General features: G+C 40.4%; 1 protein-coding gene across 9 annotated transcripts in view; it reads left to right on the top strand.

The window, feature by feature from the left end:
- The window catches only part of CILK1 (ciliogenesis associated kinase 1), a 60,522-nt gene that overhangs the window by 28,014 nt on the left and 15,184 nt on the right, over window positions 1–17,324 (top strand). For all 9 annotated transcript variants that reach the window (NR_164684.1, NM_014920.5, NM_001375397.1 and 6 more), the window contains 4 exons: window positions 1,157–1,278; window positions 2,667–2,746; window positions 14,452–14,584; window positions 15,310–15,481. Coding sequence is in view for 8 of the 9 variants with exons in the window: in NM_014920.5 (NP_055735.1) it covers window positions 1,157–1,278; window positions 2,667–2,746; window positions 14,452–14,584; window positions 15,310–15,481 (507 nt within the window). In the remaining variant the exon portion in view is untranslated. The remainder of the gene's footprint in view (window positions 1–1,156; window positions 1,279–2,666; window positions 2,747–14,451; window positions 14,585–15,309; window positions 15,482–17,324) is intronic.

Below are 17,324 nucleotides of genomic sequence, written 5' to 3'. Positions count from 1 at the left end.
TGATTATATTACACATTCCCAAGCTTTGAACCCTGGGTACTTTATCACTGAGTTTTCTTCTAGATGAGGATATTTGTTTTAACACTTTCCTCTTCACATGTTTTCTTTGTTTTATAAAAAGGATGTTCTTTTTAGTGAAATTCAAAGATAACTTAATATTGGACTCTCTTCTCTATGTATGAGGAAAGGGCTATTTTAATTAAAGGATTCATCTCACTGGCCAAAGTGACACTTGGAGGCTTTCATGAAGGAGACAGTCTTATCAGATTCTGATTATCCAAACCAACAGTTTTAGGTATGTCTGCTGTACAAGAAGAGGGATGCTGCTTACTAATACAAAATTGATTTGTTCACTATCAACAGAACTAGCAATACAAACAGAAAACAGTGTGCACATGGCTATACTCACATGTACGCACATGTTCCAGGAAGAGGAAAGGTACATATGTGTGAAGATGAGTAATCTTCACACATATAAGGCCACGCACCATTTTCTGAGCCACCCTCTCATTCCTCATCCACTGCCTGACTTTTTGCCTTCGTTGTTCTTGGAAACAGAGGGATTTCTCTTGTCTTACTTCAGGGTCCTTCCGTCTCCTTCTGGTCCTCTGTAACTCAAACTCACATTGTAAGAAGGAGTGCTCTATGCCTCATGGACATACATGAGTCAGACAAAAGTCAAGAGAAGCAGGCCATCAACCCTTCGTCGTTTTGAACAATTTCCTATTCAGAGTGTCTGCAAACTGTTAGCTGGTGATCTCAGCCCACTGCAGCTGCAAATTCTCCAGTGCTAGAAAAATCTAAGCTTCTTTTATTGATTCCCCTCTGGCTTCTTCCACAGCCTGAATTCCATCATCTGGAGGGGGTGGGCCCAAAATAGCCTTGGTACATTGCCTGGTGCTGGGGGCAGCCAGAAATACCAGTTACTGGTCGAATACATACCTTCTACTCAGTTCATTGAAGTAGTTTTTCTATGTAAAGTTATTATAAATTTCAGAGGTATACTATTAAACTGTCAATAAAATATAATTTAGCACATTTCTGAGGTTCTAAAATTAGTTGTTTCTTTCCAAGTATACATAGGATTACTTTTCTTTTTCAACAACAGATTTTCTCTAATATTTGTTTTGTTTTGTGTTTATTCCTTGCCTTTTAGTCTTTAAAGAAGCTCAACCATGCCAATGTAGTCAAATTAAAAGAAGTTATCAGGGAAAATGATCATCTTTATTTTATCTTCGAGTACATGAAGGAAAATCTTTACCAGCTCATTAAAGAGAGGTACAGTTTGGTCATCATTATCTTATTATAGAAATAAATAGGCAAAGCAGATGTGTTTTCTTTCTGCTTTTGTGTTTTCTTTCTCTCCTTTTTTTCTTTTTTTATTTTTTATTTTTTATTTTATTTTATTATTATTATACTTTAAGTTTTAGGGTACATGTGCACAATGTGTAGGTTAGTTGCATATGTATACATGTGCCATGCTGGTGTGCTTTTCTTTTCTTATTGCATTATTCTGATTTTTTCTCCAATCCTTTAACATTCACGCTACTGGGCTTTCATGTTGAAAGCTGCCAGTTAGGTGTGGGGCCCACCCATATTTCTACTTTAGAGGCCCTCTGATAGCTTCAGAGAAGCTGTTCTCAATGCAGTCATTTTCTTATTTTAGAGTTATTCATCCAGGTTGGGCACAGTGGCTGACGCCTGTAATCCCAGCACTTTGGGAGGCCAAGGCGGGCGATCACCTGAGGTCAGGAGGTCACGACCAGCCTCATCAACATGGGGAAACCCTGTCTCTACTAAAAATACAAAATTAGCCGGGCATGGTGGGGCATGCCTGTAATCCCAGTTACTAGGGATACTGAGGCAGGAGAATCACTTGAACATGGGAGGCAGAGGTTGGGGTGAGCGGACATCGCACCATTGCACTCCAGCCTGGTCAACAACGGCGAAACTCCATCTCAAAAAAAAAAGAAGAGTTATTCATCCAAAGAAGCTCAGACTTAATAGACATTGCAGTTTTCCATTATCACTAGGACATATGGGCAGAGCAACTAGAAGTCAAGGGTGGACACAGCTTCCTGGATTTTGAGACCTCTGTTGAAAAGTTCTAGGTTTATTTCAGTTCCTCTCTTGCTGCAGTACTCAGGTAATTGCATGCTGGCAAGAGGAGGCTAATAAGAAATTTACCTGCGACGGTAATTTTGAACTTCAAAGGTGAACCGTATGGAGCCTCTTGGGCACATTTTTTGTGGCAAAATGAATGCCATTCACAGTACTCCTCTGAGTGATCTGAATGAACAAATATCATCTTTATTGACAATGACGGCAGTGTGCTGTGTGTTTTGCCCAGCCAGGAGGAAAATGTTAGCCATTGCATTGCATAAGGGCTTCATCTGGAAGACCTCAAATTTTCCCCACCAAAAATTTTTAAAGTTTTAGTTTGTATCATGGAAAGAGGAGATTTTTTGATATTTATATGCTATGTTGGAGGAAAAACTTTTTTTTGGCTTACTATCAAATGTTTAATCTTTTTGTTTTTGTAACATGTGACTATATTTGGTGTTTATAAGGTAGCTCCCCTGTATGGACAAATGGTATTCTTTAGTATTTATTATCAAAGGATCTGGCCTTTGATTTATAACTTTGTTTTCCTCTGCCTCATACAGAAATAAGTTGTTTCCTGAGTCTGCTATAAGGAATATCATGTATCAGATATTACAAGGACTCGCATTTATTCACAAACACGGTAGGTGATTCGGAGTGTTGTGCTTTTGAAGAGCAGTGAAATGTTGTTATCAAGTAGAAGTTGTAGGAAACATTAATATTTTTTGTAGCTGACTCCCAGAAAAGGTTGAAGAGTTGAGAGGCTGACAATGGATTTTAAAATATATTAACTTTTATAACTTGATCTCTGAATTTCCCTCATTACTTATTGTGTCTGCATGTTTTTATTCTGTAGGCTTTAACATTAAGCTTGTTGGTTATAGATCTAAATATTGTTTCTGACCATTGAGTAGTATGTTAAATGAGAAACCTACAATTAGAATTCTGAGCAGTTTCATGTATTATGTTTGGTCCACTAACAGTGCTTCACTGTTACTTCTCATTTTTCTAATGTATTTATATTTCAACTTGTTTCAAGCGAGTTTAAAAGTAGTCTAACAAAATGTATGCGACACAGGAAAATAGAATAAATTAAAAATTAGCAAACTAAAAAAAGAGACAAAGGCAAAACAAGATGTGGATATAGCCAGAGGTGAGGTTAGTCCTCAAAATGCATGCCAGCAAGTTTTATTTCAATAGAAGAAGCAGGCTAAGATTTGATTGTGAGCTCGTTGTCAGACCATGCAAAATGTGAAATATTACCAGTTACAACACACATAGGTAAAAAGAGACCAGTTACCCAAGAAAAGCAGAACTATTCTTGATACCAAGACCAGAGAGAAGCTTTTTTCATGGACCCTTTAGAGAGGACGGTATGTAACATGACTTTATCATAAACACAGTGATGGGTTTTAGAGGGCAGTTTTTTGTCATATCCCTCAATGGAGGCCAATTACATCACCTAATCAGAGAAAACATTTCTACGGGGGCCAGTCTGAGTTGTTCTACAGATGGTCTGGTTAGGCTGGGGAGAAATTTAGAATATCCAAAGGAACGATGACCACATACCATTCTGGAAATCCCCCATCACTGTTGTTCTTAGCTGAGCTTTTGAAAGGTATTAAGCAGCAAAGAGTTTGAGGTTCTATTTTCCAGCAACTACCTGGAGTATTGCTGCTTGTTGTTACTAACTAGACACAGACCCAGCTGGGGTTGGATCAATACTTCTTGTGAGCACAGAGCCACCAGATGGACGTATCCACAGGTGGGCCAGAAGTCTTCTCAGGAGGTCATTTGAGGTCATTGTAATATACAGACAGATGGGCGAAGCTGATTTTGCATAGGTAGAAATCCATTTACTCTCAGTCCAAGGATGTTGTTGCCATTGTAAATATTGCACCAACAAATAAGTTTTATTACTCAAGGAGACTGGGTGGAAGCCCTTTGATAATATAGTCAGTTCAGATTTTTAAACTTTTTTTAAGAGAAGGTCTCAATATGCTGCCCAGGCTGGCCTTGGACTCCTGGGCTCTAGCGATCCTCCTGCCTTAGCCTCCTGAGTAGCTAGTTTAGATTTGATGTAAATTAACAGTGAGTAGAAAAGACCTTGTGCTGAAGAAGGTGGCATAGTGCATCTGGGATCATTACCAGCCTGTCCTTTACTTCTGAGGTAGCTGCTTACAATTAGAGACTAAATGAAACACAGACAAACCTAGGCTATCTGCAAATCCTAGTCTGCCTCAGGCACATACTGAGTAATCAGCATGTACTATGCAAGACTGAGTCAAATTGTGAACCAGTTCTAGTCAAAAGTTTCTAGTACAAGTTTTCTCTGATTCCACTGACATTTGTGGAACTAGTACTTGGGCCTTTATTCACAAGAATTCACAAGAGATGGTGTGAATTTGCAAAACATTAAAAACTTCTGGCATGGTATCTTAGGGACAAATAGGAGAAAGGTCACTTATTAGATTAAGAGCTCAGGGAAAAGAAATAATGAGAATTCAATGGGATTCTCAAAAGAGATAACACATTTTCAGATAGAGACCAGTCATAGTGTCTCAGTTTTTCAGGCTATTTTCTCAGTACTGGGAACTGAGTGGTAGACTTAAACAAAAGTTAATATTCTTTGGTTTTTTCTTCTTTCTCATTTTTGTTGCTATTCTTTAGACCCAGATACTTGTTGCCAGAAAGTAGCCTTCTGTCCAGGCCTCTACCTAATCAAATGTATGCATATATATATATACACACACACACAAACACATAGACCACACATAAGCACCCCAAGACACATGCAGACACATGCAAACATCTACATGTACACATACCCACATGCATATATGCCTACATATACATTCATCTTACACACACACACACACACACACACTCATCTGTAGTACATAATTTAGCATCCATATATTACTGTGTCAAAACAGTTTGTTGGAACTCTGCACTGTGTTTCCCTCCATGCACTAGACACTCAGACCACAAGGTACCAGGGAAGGCTCAGTTTATGGAGAAGGTTGGACCTTGGCTTTTATAGCCTCAACACCATTGCCATTACCAGAGATTCTTGTTGACACTTTTCCTCAGCAATTAAGTGCCCAGTTCCAGTTTGAGCTTAACATTTTATCTGTTACCTTATTTCCTTGCCAATTTATCAGGTAGAACGAATAGGTGTTATCTAGTCTTTACAAAAAAGAGGAAACTAAGGTTCAGAGAAGTTCAAACACCTGTGAAAGGTCCCATTGCAATAAAGTGGTTGAGTGGAGATTAGTTCAGATAGCCTATGCCTGTTTGCCATGCTTGATTAGAAAAACCTGCCTGTGCTCAGCGAGAACAAGAGAATAAGAGGTGAAGAAAATAATAATCATTGTAAGTGGTATAGAGACTAATTTCAGTTTCACCCTGTCACCCAGGCTGGAGTGCAGTCACGCAGTCTCGGCTCACTGCAACCTCTGCCTCCCAGGTTCTAGCGATCCTCATGCCTCGGCCACCTGAGTAGCTGGGACTACAGGTGCATGCCACCACGCCCGGCTAATTTTTTTTTTTTTTTTTTTTGAGACGGAGTCTCGCTATGTCACCCAGGCTGGAGTGCAGTGGCGCGATCTCAGCTTACTGCAAGTTCCGCCTCCCAGGTTCACGCCATTCTCCCGCCTCAGCCTCCTGAGTAGCTGGGACTACAGGCGCATGCCACCACACCCGGCTAATTTTTTGTATTTTTTAGTAGAGACGGGTTTCACCATGTTAGCCAGGATGTTCTCGATCTCCTGACCTCGTGATCCACCCGCCTCGGCCTCCCAAAGTGCTGGGATTACAGGCATGAGCCACTGTGCCCGGCGCCCGGCTAATTTTTGTGTTTTTAGTAGAGATGGGGTTTTCACCATGTTGGCCAGCCTGGTCTCCAACTCCTGCTGTCAAGTGATCCACCCATCTTGGCCTCCCAAAGTGCCAGGATTACAGGAGTGAGCCACTGCACCCAGCCCCTATCCCATTTTCACTGCTAAATGATTTTTAGAAATTGTCTAATGGTTTTTGTATGGTATTGACTTTGGTTAAGTGCACGTGTACCTCTATATTCCTTTCCTTCAGCAATGGAAAAAAAGTACTTAAAGCACTTCAAAGATTAGTCATGTAAATTTCAGGCTTTTCTCTGGTAGCCCATTCTCACTGTGAGGAGGTGCATTCTGCCTCTGGGGGGTAGACTTCTCTGAGAGGGGAGAACAGTGCTGCAGGTAGTTAGTACGGCCATACTTCGTGTCACTATTTCCTTCCTACAGGGAATGAAAACACAGCTCTACTTGGTACTGATTGAGCAATGCCAAAGCATATGTCCTTTGCAGGAATTAAATAATTAATGCAAATGGTCTGTTTCAACTCTGACTTGACCTTACAGATATCCAGGTCACACTTATCCGTGCCAGAAATAGAAATGCATTGGGCAGTCTGAAGGACAATGTTTTGCACCAAGAGATGGTTCTCTGCCTCTGTGTTTCCTCACTGTCTTGCTGTGCATGACCTTGAGATAGTCCATTGCCTTTCTATGCATTGCTGTCGTTCTAGCCTTCTTGATAAAAACATTGTAGGTTTGAATTTAATAATATCTGGGAAATTAAAGTTTCCACAGCAGGAAAGTGTCCTGTATAAATTCATAGTGTTTGAAGATTCTCTGGTTATTTCCATATATTCATATCTGATTCATCAATAACAAAATGTGGTAGAGGGGAGAAAGCCTTCTTTGTGGCTTGATGTTTTCCTTGCCCAAGGGTTATTAATGAAAAAGTAAGCACACACATTTTCTGCCAGGATGAAAGAAAATCCCTCTGTTATTCAGCTGGCATATAGGGGTGAAATTAAATTGAAGGTCTGTTCCTGTCTTCTGGAAGTCAAACAGTTTTGAACAGGAAGGTTCTTATCATAATAGAACTTTGCTGTTGCGTGATCTCTGAATGACCACAACTAAAAGGGTTTCCATTGTGAATCAGAAGCCCAAAGGAAGAAGTAGGCTTATTGTTATAGGTCACATTGCACACACCAGCAGAACTGGAACCCTGCTACGAATCAGAGTTTTATTACCACCTCCTCACCGATGGAGCATGTCAGATGTAATTCTTATTAGCAAAAAATGGAGCCATGTCTGCCTCCCTACTTCAACAGGTATGTGGGAGAGTCAAATGAGAGAATGTGTTAATAGTAGTACTGTTAATGACCAGCTCTTGCAAGGTATTAATGTGCAAGCACTGCTCAAAAAGCTTTATAGGCTGGGCGCAGTGGCTCATGCCTGTAATCCCAGCACTTTGGGAAGCCGAGGTGGACGGATCATCTAAGGTCAGGAGTTCGAGACCAGCCTGACCAACATGGCGAAACCCCGTCTCTACTAAAAATACAAAAATTAGCTGGTCATAATCCCAGCTACTTGGGAGGCTAAGGCAGGAGAATAGCTTGAACCCAGGAGGCAAAGGTTGCAGTGAGCCGAGATGGCACCACTGTACTCCAGCCTGGGTGACAGAGTGAGACTCTGTCTCAAAACAAAACAAAACAAAAAACAAACAAACAAAAAAGCTTTACAAATATAACACATTTAATCCTGCAGAACAACCCTATTAGGTAGATGCTATTATTTCCCCATTTTACAGATAAGAAAACTAAGGCACAGGAAGGATAAGTACTTTTCAGCCAGTGAGTAACAGAATTATGATTTGAAATCAGGCAACTTGGCTGGTCTGCACACCTACCCGCTATGTGGCATTGCCGCTCATAAGGAAATAGTAATGTCATGTTAAAATAGACATGAAAAGCACCTGTATATGACATAAGGATCTTATACTTTTAATTACCAGGAATAGATCTCATGTGTATAAGGCTAATAACAGCCCATTGTTACATTATTCAGTACTTAACAGAGGGCTAGATAGTCTACAGATATATTCACAAATTTGTTATATTGACTTCTACTTGAAGTCAATATAACAAATACAGCATATGTCAACTGACAGATACAGTTTTTCATCAGTCATTTTTATAGTCTGTTAGCAATTAATTTTCTTTCCCAGCCATTTTCCCTTGCTTGTTTTGAGCCTGAAGTAGGGCCCATAAAAAGAGAAGCTGCTTAAAGGGATATGTGGGGAATCGGAATCTTCCTTCCCCTCATTTCATTAGTGTGCATGTCCTCTGTGGAAGTATATGATTAAAGAGGAGTTAGCAGTGAGGGAGAGGATAAAGCTTGGCTGATGGGAGGAGTGGCCAGTGTTTACAGGAGCATGACTACAGTGGAAACAAAGAACGAGGTCTGGAGTGTGAGCACGATACTTGCATCTGAGTATGAATTGATGATAGGAAGAACTGAGCAGAGAGAAGACACAAGTTTGTTGTGGTGGGTGTTCTAGATGATGCCAGAGGGAGTTGCCATAGTGGGTAGGGGCTGCAGAACAAAGGACCCATTATAACGGAACTGCCACATAAGTTTGGAAATAATAATTACCCCAACTAAATGAGAAAAAGGGAGTCTATGAGGGGAAATAGCATTAATCTAGACTTGAGAGGATCAAAACAACAAATCAAGATTTAGCTATATGGGCCGGGCACAGTGGCTCACGCCTGTAATCCTAGCACTTTGGGAGGCTGAGACGGGTGAATCACTTGAGGCCAGGAGTTGGAGACCAGCTTGACCAGCATGGCAAAATCCTGTCTCTACTAAAAATACAAAAATTAGCCGGGCATGGTGGTGCAGGCCTGTAATCCCAGCTACTTGGGAGCCTGAGGCATGAGAATTGCTTGAACCCGGGAGGTGGAGGTTGCATTGAGCTAAGATGGTGCCACTTCACTCCAGCCTGGGCGACCAGCAAGACTCTGTCTTACAAAAAAAAAAAAAAAAGATTTAGCTATATGGATTGAAAGGGAGAGTAGAGCTGGACACTATAATAGCTATGACACATTTCTTGGTGGAATTGGGAGTAATTCATCTACCGCCCCCTGCCACCATGATTCAGTTTTCCCATCTGTGGAGTAAGAAAATGATGCTTGCCATTCCTTTTTTTCACTGGAATGTTTTGAACACTCTGAGTTTTTAGGAAGACAAACCATGGTCTCACAATTCATCTATTTTCAGAGGTCACAGGTGCGTTGACCAAAGATCACTGTAATCACTGCTTGTATCCTTACACATTCTTAAGCCAGTTCCAAAATGGAAACACACAATCAGGCCTTCTGCAAGCTGGAGGGTGCTCTGAAGAACAGAGGGTCCAAACACAATGACTCAGTTATGCTAAGTCTTAGAGATGTCACCCACTGTGGTGGGCATGAATAAATCTTTAATTAGGCTGATCATAAGCATCTAAATGTGTCCATATCAGAAATCTTTTCATTCATTTTAAAGGCCATTCTTGACTGATACTGAATGCTCTTTGCATTTGTTGAGTTGACAACCTCAAGTTTGGTTCTTATGTATAATTTTGGTTTATTTTACTATTAAGTTCACTAGGATATTTCAAGGAATTGTATGAGGAAGGCCATTAGGTGTGTACCAGTACAATGGCAGGATAAAGAATGAGCAGTGGAATATATATTCATAAATATTTCACAATATACATACAAACCCGTGTATGCATGTGCTATAAAATAGCAAACTTGCTGTGCCTGTCTCTGGTTTAACCCATGTCAAACTTTTTTGATCTCATCAATGCCTTGGATTGTGGAAAATAAAAGCAACCCCGTGGTGGGAAGGAAGTACTTCCTCCTCTCACTTATGCCCTCTTGAATGTATCTGATCACTTCTATACCTTCATCCCCTTCTGTATTTACTGGGTTCTAGGCTCTGTAATTACATTCACTTTGTCCATCTATGCCAGCTACTTCTCCTACAGATCCGCCATTATGCCATAGTATAATACTATCCATTTGGAACTTGACCCAGTATTAAGTACTGTTGTCTTTAGAATGATGAACAGAGAGGATTGTCCTATTACTAAAATATTGTTCCTTTCCATGATAATGGCAATTAGTGTATTTTCACATATAACCACATCACAATCACCCTCCCTTTGCTCTAGGGCAGTGACAGTCTTTGGAAAACAACCTTGACTAATAGATTTAGTCCTACTAGAGTTCCTGCCTTCATTCATTCATTCAACTAATACAACTCCCTCTGTCACAAGGACAACCAGCTCTGAGCCCTCATTGTCCCCTGCACTACTGGGTCATTGTTCTCTCTCAGTTCTCAGTGCTGTCTCATGGGTTTCCTCCCTCCCATCCTCCTCACAGCTCTGGTTTGCTCTCTAGTTGACCCTGGTGCTTGGCTCAGGTAGATGTGTTAACATTAAGCTGTTTAATGTTCCCTACAGACGAAAGTCCTTTGTTCAATCAGCAAGAGTATATTATGAGACCACAGTGCTCCTGCCACTGTGCCAGGCATTCATAAGAAATATAAATGTGGCCTCTGCCCTTAAAGTGCTTCTGTCTAATTCATAAAAAATGGTTAGCCAGGTGCGGTGGCTTACACCTGTAATCCCAGCACTTTGGGAGGCTGAGGTGGGTGGATCATGAGGTCAGGGGATCGAGACCACCCTGGCTAATATGGTGAAACCCCGCCTCTACTAAAAATACAAAAAATTAGCAGGGTGTGGTGGCAGGCGCCTGTAGTCCTAGCTACTCAGGAGGCTGAGGCAGGAGAATGGCGTGAACCCAGGAGGCAGAGCTGGCAGTGAGCTGAGATTGTGCCACTGCACTCTAGCCTGGGCAACAGAGCAAGACTCCGTCTCAAAAAAAAAAAAAATGGTTAACATACCTGAAGTTGATAGAGCTCAACTGGAGTTAGAGGGGAGGGCCTATTATGTCCATGAGGGCAAGAGTCATGTCCATTGCATTGTTTCTGAATCCTTAGAACCTAATCTGTTGCCTGGCATGGAGCAGATGCTCAGTGAAAATGTGTTGGTAGAATGAATGAATGAATGAATGAAGGCTACCATGTTAGAATGGCATAATGGAAGAAGCGAAACTCAAAACAGGTGTTGGAGGATGGCAAAAGTTGGGATTGATGTAGACAAAAAGGAGTAAAGGGCACATTATTAATGGAAATAAGTACAGTTACATATCACTTGATGACTGGATATGTTCTGAGAAATGTGTTGTTAGACAATTTTGTTGTTGTGCAAACATCATAGAGTACACTTACTTAGACACACCTAGATGGTATAGCCTATTACATAGCTGGACTATATGGTATAGCCTGTTGTTCCTAGACTGTAAGCCTCTACAGCATGTTACTGTACTGAATACTATAGGCAATTGTAACACAATGGTAAGTATTTGTGTATCTAAACATAGAAAAGGTACAGTAAAAATATAGTATAAAAAATTTTTTTAAAAATGGTACACCTGTATAGGGCACTTACTGTGAATGGAGCTTGCAGGAAATGGCTCTGGGTGAATCAGTGAGTGAGTATGAAGGTCTAGGACACTTTATAAACACTGTACACCAAGGATACACTAAATTTTTAAAATTTCTTTCTTCAATAATTAATCTTAGCTTGCTGAAACTTTTTATTTCATAAACTTATACTTTTTTTAACTTTTTGACTCTTTTATAATAACATTTGGCTTAACACATATGGCTATACAAAAATATTTTCTTTATATCCCTATTCTATAAGCTTTTACTGTTCTTAAATTATTATTATTACTTTTTTAACTTTTTTGCTAAAAACTAAGACACAAATACACACATTAGCCTAGGCCTACACAGGGTTAGGATCATGAGTATCATTGCCTTCCACCTCCACATCTTGTCCCACTGGAAGGTTTTGAGGTGCAATAATACGCAGGGAGCTGTCATCTCCCATGATAACAAAGCCTTCTAGGTACCTCCTGAAGGACCTGCCTCAGGCTGTTTTACAGTTAACTTTTTTTTTTTTTTTAGTAAGTAGAAGGAGTACAATTCTAAAATAATGATTAAAAGTATAGTATAGTGAATACTAGATAAGGATTTTTCAGCTTCATTATAATAAGACCACCATCATATATGCAGTCCATCATTAATTGAAACTTCGTTATGCAGTGCATGACTGTACAGTGAACTTACAAAGAATGAGGAGTTGCACCTGATTGGAGCACACTTTACATGTATTGATAAGTGTTGGAAAATAAGTTTCTCTCTTTAGGTAGAGTGAAAGGAGTTCAGCCCTGTTTAATATAAAAAGGAGTCATGGATGGTTTTTGTGGGTGAATGAGAGAGTGACAAGGGAAAGATAGTGTTTAAGTGGTCAGGATTATAGGAGAGAAGCTGGAGCAAGGAAGGTCTGCAAGAAAGTGGCAATGCAGGCATAGGCAGTGAGAAAGTAGAAAGAGACAGATATGAGATTTACCCCCCCAACCCCCCCGCGCCGCTCCAAAACGAAGTCTTGCTTTGTTGCCTGGGCTGGAGTGCAGTGGTGTGATCTCAGCTCACTGCAACCTCCACCTCGCAGGTTCAAGCAATTCTCCCACCTCAGCCTCCCGAGTAGCTGGAATTACAGGCATGTGCCACCACGCCCGGCTAATTTTTAAAATATTTTTAGTAGAGATGGTGTTTCACCATATTGGCCAGGCTGGTCTCGAACTCCTGACCTTCAAGTGATCCGCCCGCCTCGGCCTCCCAAAGTGTTGGGATTACAGGCGTGAGCCACCGCGCCTAGCTGATATGAGATGTTTTGATAGAAAATACGACACAATCTCATAACTGGGTAAGGATGGATCCAACATAACTGCAAGGTACCTAGAAATCTTATCCAAAGGTTAGGAAGGGGAGATGATTTGGGAGAGGACAAAAGTGGTTTTGGATAAGTTAACATAGGGATGATAGTGACATCCAGTTGCTGTCCAAATAGAGATTTATGTCTTCAGAAGGGTAGAGAAGGCACATTAGAAATGTAGACTTGAGCGTTGTCAACATACAGGTTGTCAAGGAATCGTGTAGATCTTCAGTGATGGCTATTAATTTCTCCCATAATGTGCTAGTTAGAATCCAGCTTTCACAACATTGATACAGATTGAGTATCTCTTACTTGAAATGCTTGGGTCCAGCAGTGTTTCTGAATTTGGATTTTTTCAGATTTTGGAATATTTACATTATATTTTACCAGTTGAACATCCCTAACCCAAAAATCCGAAATCCAAAATGCTGCAGTAAGCAATTTCTTTATGTGTCAGGTTGGTGCTCAAAAAGTTTCAGGTTTTGGAGCATCTCAGATTTTGAATTTTCAGAGTAGGGAATACTCAGCCTGTAATGATAGCAATGATAATGTGTAACAAATAATAGCATCAGCAGCAGCTGAGTTGTATTTCCAGTATTGGTGTCCCATTGAGATTTGGAGCCACATTAAATGATGTCTAGGTTGGTGATACTCTCAGGAAGTGGGAGGTTTGGGGTTTTCAGAGACATATATTGCAATTCACTGGGCGTTTGAGTGAGCTTGGAAGATTGCCATGTTGACTATCTCCTGCCTGTACCTCCAGAGCTCTGCTATAGCTGAGACAGGCTTCCTACGTAATGAGTTATCTTTGCCTTTCATGTGAGCTGCAAATGTACCATTGTACTTCCTCACTAGGCAAAGTAATAAGTACTTAACATTTAAACATATGTTGCAACATACACCACAATCTCAGATATGAGTAGGTCATATTCATAAATTATTTCTTAAACAAAAATTATAATTGTGTTTCTGCTGTGGTATAAACTCTCAATTCCCATCAGACAGTTATCTGGGCCGGGCATGGTGGCTCACACTTATAATCCCAATACTTTGGGAGGCTGAGGCAGGAGGATAGCTTGAAGCCAAGAGTTCAAGACAAGCCTGGGCAACAGAGCAAGACCCTATCTTTACAAAAACAAAAAAAAAAAAAACAAAAAAACTAGCCAGGCACCATGGTTTGTGCCAGTAGTCCCAGCTACTTGGAAGGCTGAGACAGGAGGATCACTTGAGCCCAGACTGCAGCGAACTATGATTGTGCCACTGCACTCCAACCTAGGCAATAGAATGAGATGCCGTCAGTGATATTTTTCCCTTGAGTGACAGTTTATTTTTGCAAAGTTATCTCAGCCTATAATCCAGTTTGATATTTTAAAAGAAATTTTCTCTCTAGTTAAAAAAAATTATGAAGAACACCTTTGAATGATTTGCAAAGGGAAATGAATGTAGTAATCCTATGAGAAGTTCGAAGGACTCTACATTATCTGTGGGATGAATGCATAAAGCCTTTGGTGCCATGCCAGACTACTTTTTAAATTATAACTATTTTGCAGAGAGCAATACAATTGCAAAGAATAATACGAAGCAAACTTGCATTTGGATTTCTTCTCCTCTACTGTCTCTATAGGCTTCTTTCATCGAGACTTAAAGCCTGAGAACCTCCTCTGCATGGGACCAGAACTTGTGAAAATTGCAGACTTTGGTTTGGCCCGAGAAATACGATCAAAACCTCCATATACAGATTATGTATCTACCAGATGGTGAATACCATTTTTCTCAAAATTATTTAATTGCACTTCTTTAAAAAGATATCATTATGCTAAGGATAATATTAAAGTCACAAATGTTAACTTTTCACTAAGAGAAACAGTGCAGTCTGAAACATATATTTATAGATATGTTGGTAATGTACAAGGTTAAAAATCTTGTGTTCTAAATCATGTTAAAAGAAAACCTATTATGCTTTTCTATAATGTAAATAAAATTTTATATATAGGCCTTCCTGAGGACAGCTTAACAAAAGAATTATGTAAAATATTCTGCAAAGACCTGTCTGAGAACCATCTAATTGCTATTGTGAAAACTTTGAGACACTGGGAATTTGATTTAAGCAGTTTGCCATGACCAAGTAGTCTACACACAAGTTGTAGGTTTTTTCCTCCCTCTTCCTTTCTCTCTTAGTTTTTCCCTTCCACTTTCTCTTTTCTCTCTTTTTTCCTAATTCTTACTTTCTCTGTGTTTCTCAAAGATGCCATAGAGAAGTCTCCTGTAGAGAAATGCTCAGTAGAAAATATTGTGAACTAGAGAAGCACTACTTGTCAACAGCAGCCCACGGCAGTTGCCAAGTTCTCACAATTCCATTACACCACAGTGAACTAGAGAGAAAATAGGAACATATACACCCCCTCACTGAGAACTGATTGTTATTTAATTTAATGTCTGAGTGGTGGAAGCAATAGCTAGCAGTTAACCTTTGTTCCTCCAGGTACAGGGCTCCAGAAGTACTCCTGAGGTCTACCAACTACAGCTCCCCCATTGACGTCTGGGCGGTGGGCTGCATCATGGCAGAAGTTTACACCCTCAGGCCACTCTTCCCTGGAGCCAGTGAAATTGACACAATATTCAAAATTTGCCAAGTGCTGGGGACACCAAAAAAGGTAATGATACAAAACAAAGGCCAGTGGGCCAAAGCCAACAGCTTCCCATGCTTCCTCCGCTCAGCCCTGTTCAGCACTGGCATGATTGAGCACCTGCCCATTCTAGGCTCTTTCTCTTGACCTCAGTCATTCTCCACTGCCCACGTTCTCAGATACGGTCGGCTTCTCTTCCTCCTCCTGTTCTTAAGTATGACATCTGTCATGGCTCCTTCTGCCTTCCTCTCTGTATCATCTCACCTCCCTTGCAGAACTTCTCAGTTCTCATTGCTACAACTCCTACGCCTGTTCAGAAGTCTCCTGAATGTAATCCTTAGCCGCTGCCTCCCTCCATTATTACTACACTCACATGTTTACAACGCTCTATGGGATTTTCTCCTGACTCCCTCACCATCACCTCAAACTCATCATTGCCTTTTGTTTAACACCCTACTAGCTTCCTTCTTTCATTCTCCATTTTCATTTGTGGTCTGATCATAATCCCAGAGCCCCCACCTTGAGGCTGAATTTCAGCTTTACCTTCTGTCTTTCTCTTGCTCCCCTTTCCCTTCATCTAAGCGGTTGGTGGGTAAATCCTGTTGAATATTGCCACATGGCTCTTGTTCCTTCAAGTCCACTGCTGCCATTACAGACTGGACCACAGTCACCCCCCTGTGTCTAATGTCATCTTCCCCATCTTTCTGCCTTGAAGTATTTTCACTCTGGCTTCTTGTTCAGTCTGTGGCCAGATTCAGCTTCCTAAAGAACAGCTCTGGTACTGACTTCCCCTCATAAAAGTATTGGTTGACTCCCCATTGCCCAGCCTCATAACTCCTATTCCTATCGCTCACTTCATACCTATACACCTAACAGCTGCATGCCCTGAAATTTCCCTGCTTCTGTGCTCTGCACATAACACCCTCTGCCTGAGTGATATCTGTCACATGGCCGTCAGTAATCCCCCTCCTCACTGTTTCTCTAATCTCCTCCCCATCTTCAGCTGTGTCCTATGTTATTAATATTATTATTTGCGTACATAGTTGTTTCCTAGACCATAAGCTCACTCAGGACAAGGATTTGCTGTATGTTTATTTTCCCAGGTCCCAGCACCATTGCTGGTGCAAACTAGATCCTCAAAAAAATTTTTTAATCATTTGAATGAATTATTAATGCCACCTCTTCAAGAAAGTTTCCTGAGTCCAATGCTGGAATCTTTCTCCTCTGCATATCTGTACCTGCACATCTCTTGCAGCTTTTGTCAGTTTTTACTCTGCATTATACCATTTTTAAATAAATGCTCTTTTCTCTTTTAAGAACAGTAATACTCTTAAGCGCAGGATTTATATTGGATCATTTTTGGATCTCCAACAACACTAAGCATATAGTAGGCATTCCAGAACTGTCAAGTGAATGAACGATAAAAGCTATATGTATTGCCACTTGGCTTTAAAAAGGAGTGGAGGAACAATTACCTTAGGCTGTATGTTATAAAATAGTAGAGTGTTAGAACTAGAAGGAACCTTAAAGACCATTTCTTTAGCATTTTCCATCATTCCCTCCAGCATTTAGTGTCCCATAGAAATGATGCATGAAAAAGTGGAAAGCTTGAGACTGGGTGAAACACCTTTCTTTACTGCTGGTTTTCTCCACATGTATACTTTCAATCACCAAGTTGAAGATACTGTAGGTAGAGTTTCACAAATTTATTTGTCCAGGAACAAAATGTTTTGTTTTATTTTGTTTTCCCCAAAAGAATATCTCATTGGCAGTTTTCAGAACCTCTGTCTCATGGAACACAGTTGGGGAAATATTAATTTGTTTCAATCCCAAAATCTCAAGAGAATCTCTTATGTAAAGATAATTAAGT

Source organism: Homo sapiens, chromosome 6, assembly GCF_000001405.40.
Source record: "Homo sapiens chromosome 6, GRCh38.p14 Primary Assembly".
Classification (NCBI taxonomy): domain Eukaryota; kingdom Metazoa; phylum Chordata; class Mammalia; order Primates; family Hominidae; genus Homo; species Homo sapiens.
The sequence above is the reverse complement of the archived record's forward strand: the minus strand, read 5'-3'. Positions and strand labels throughout refer to the sequence as shown.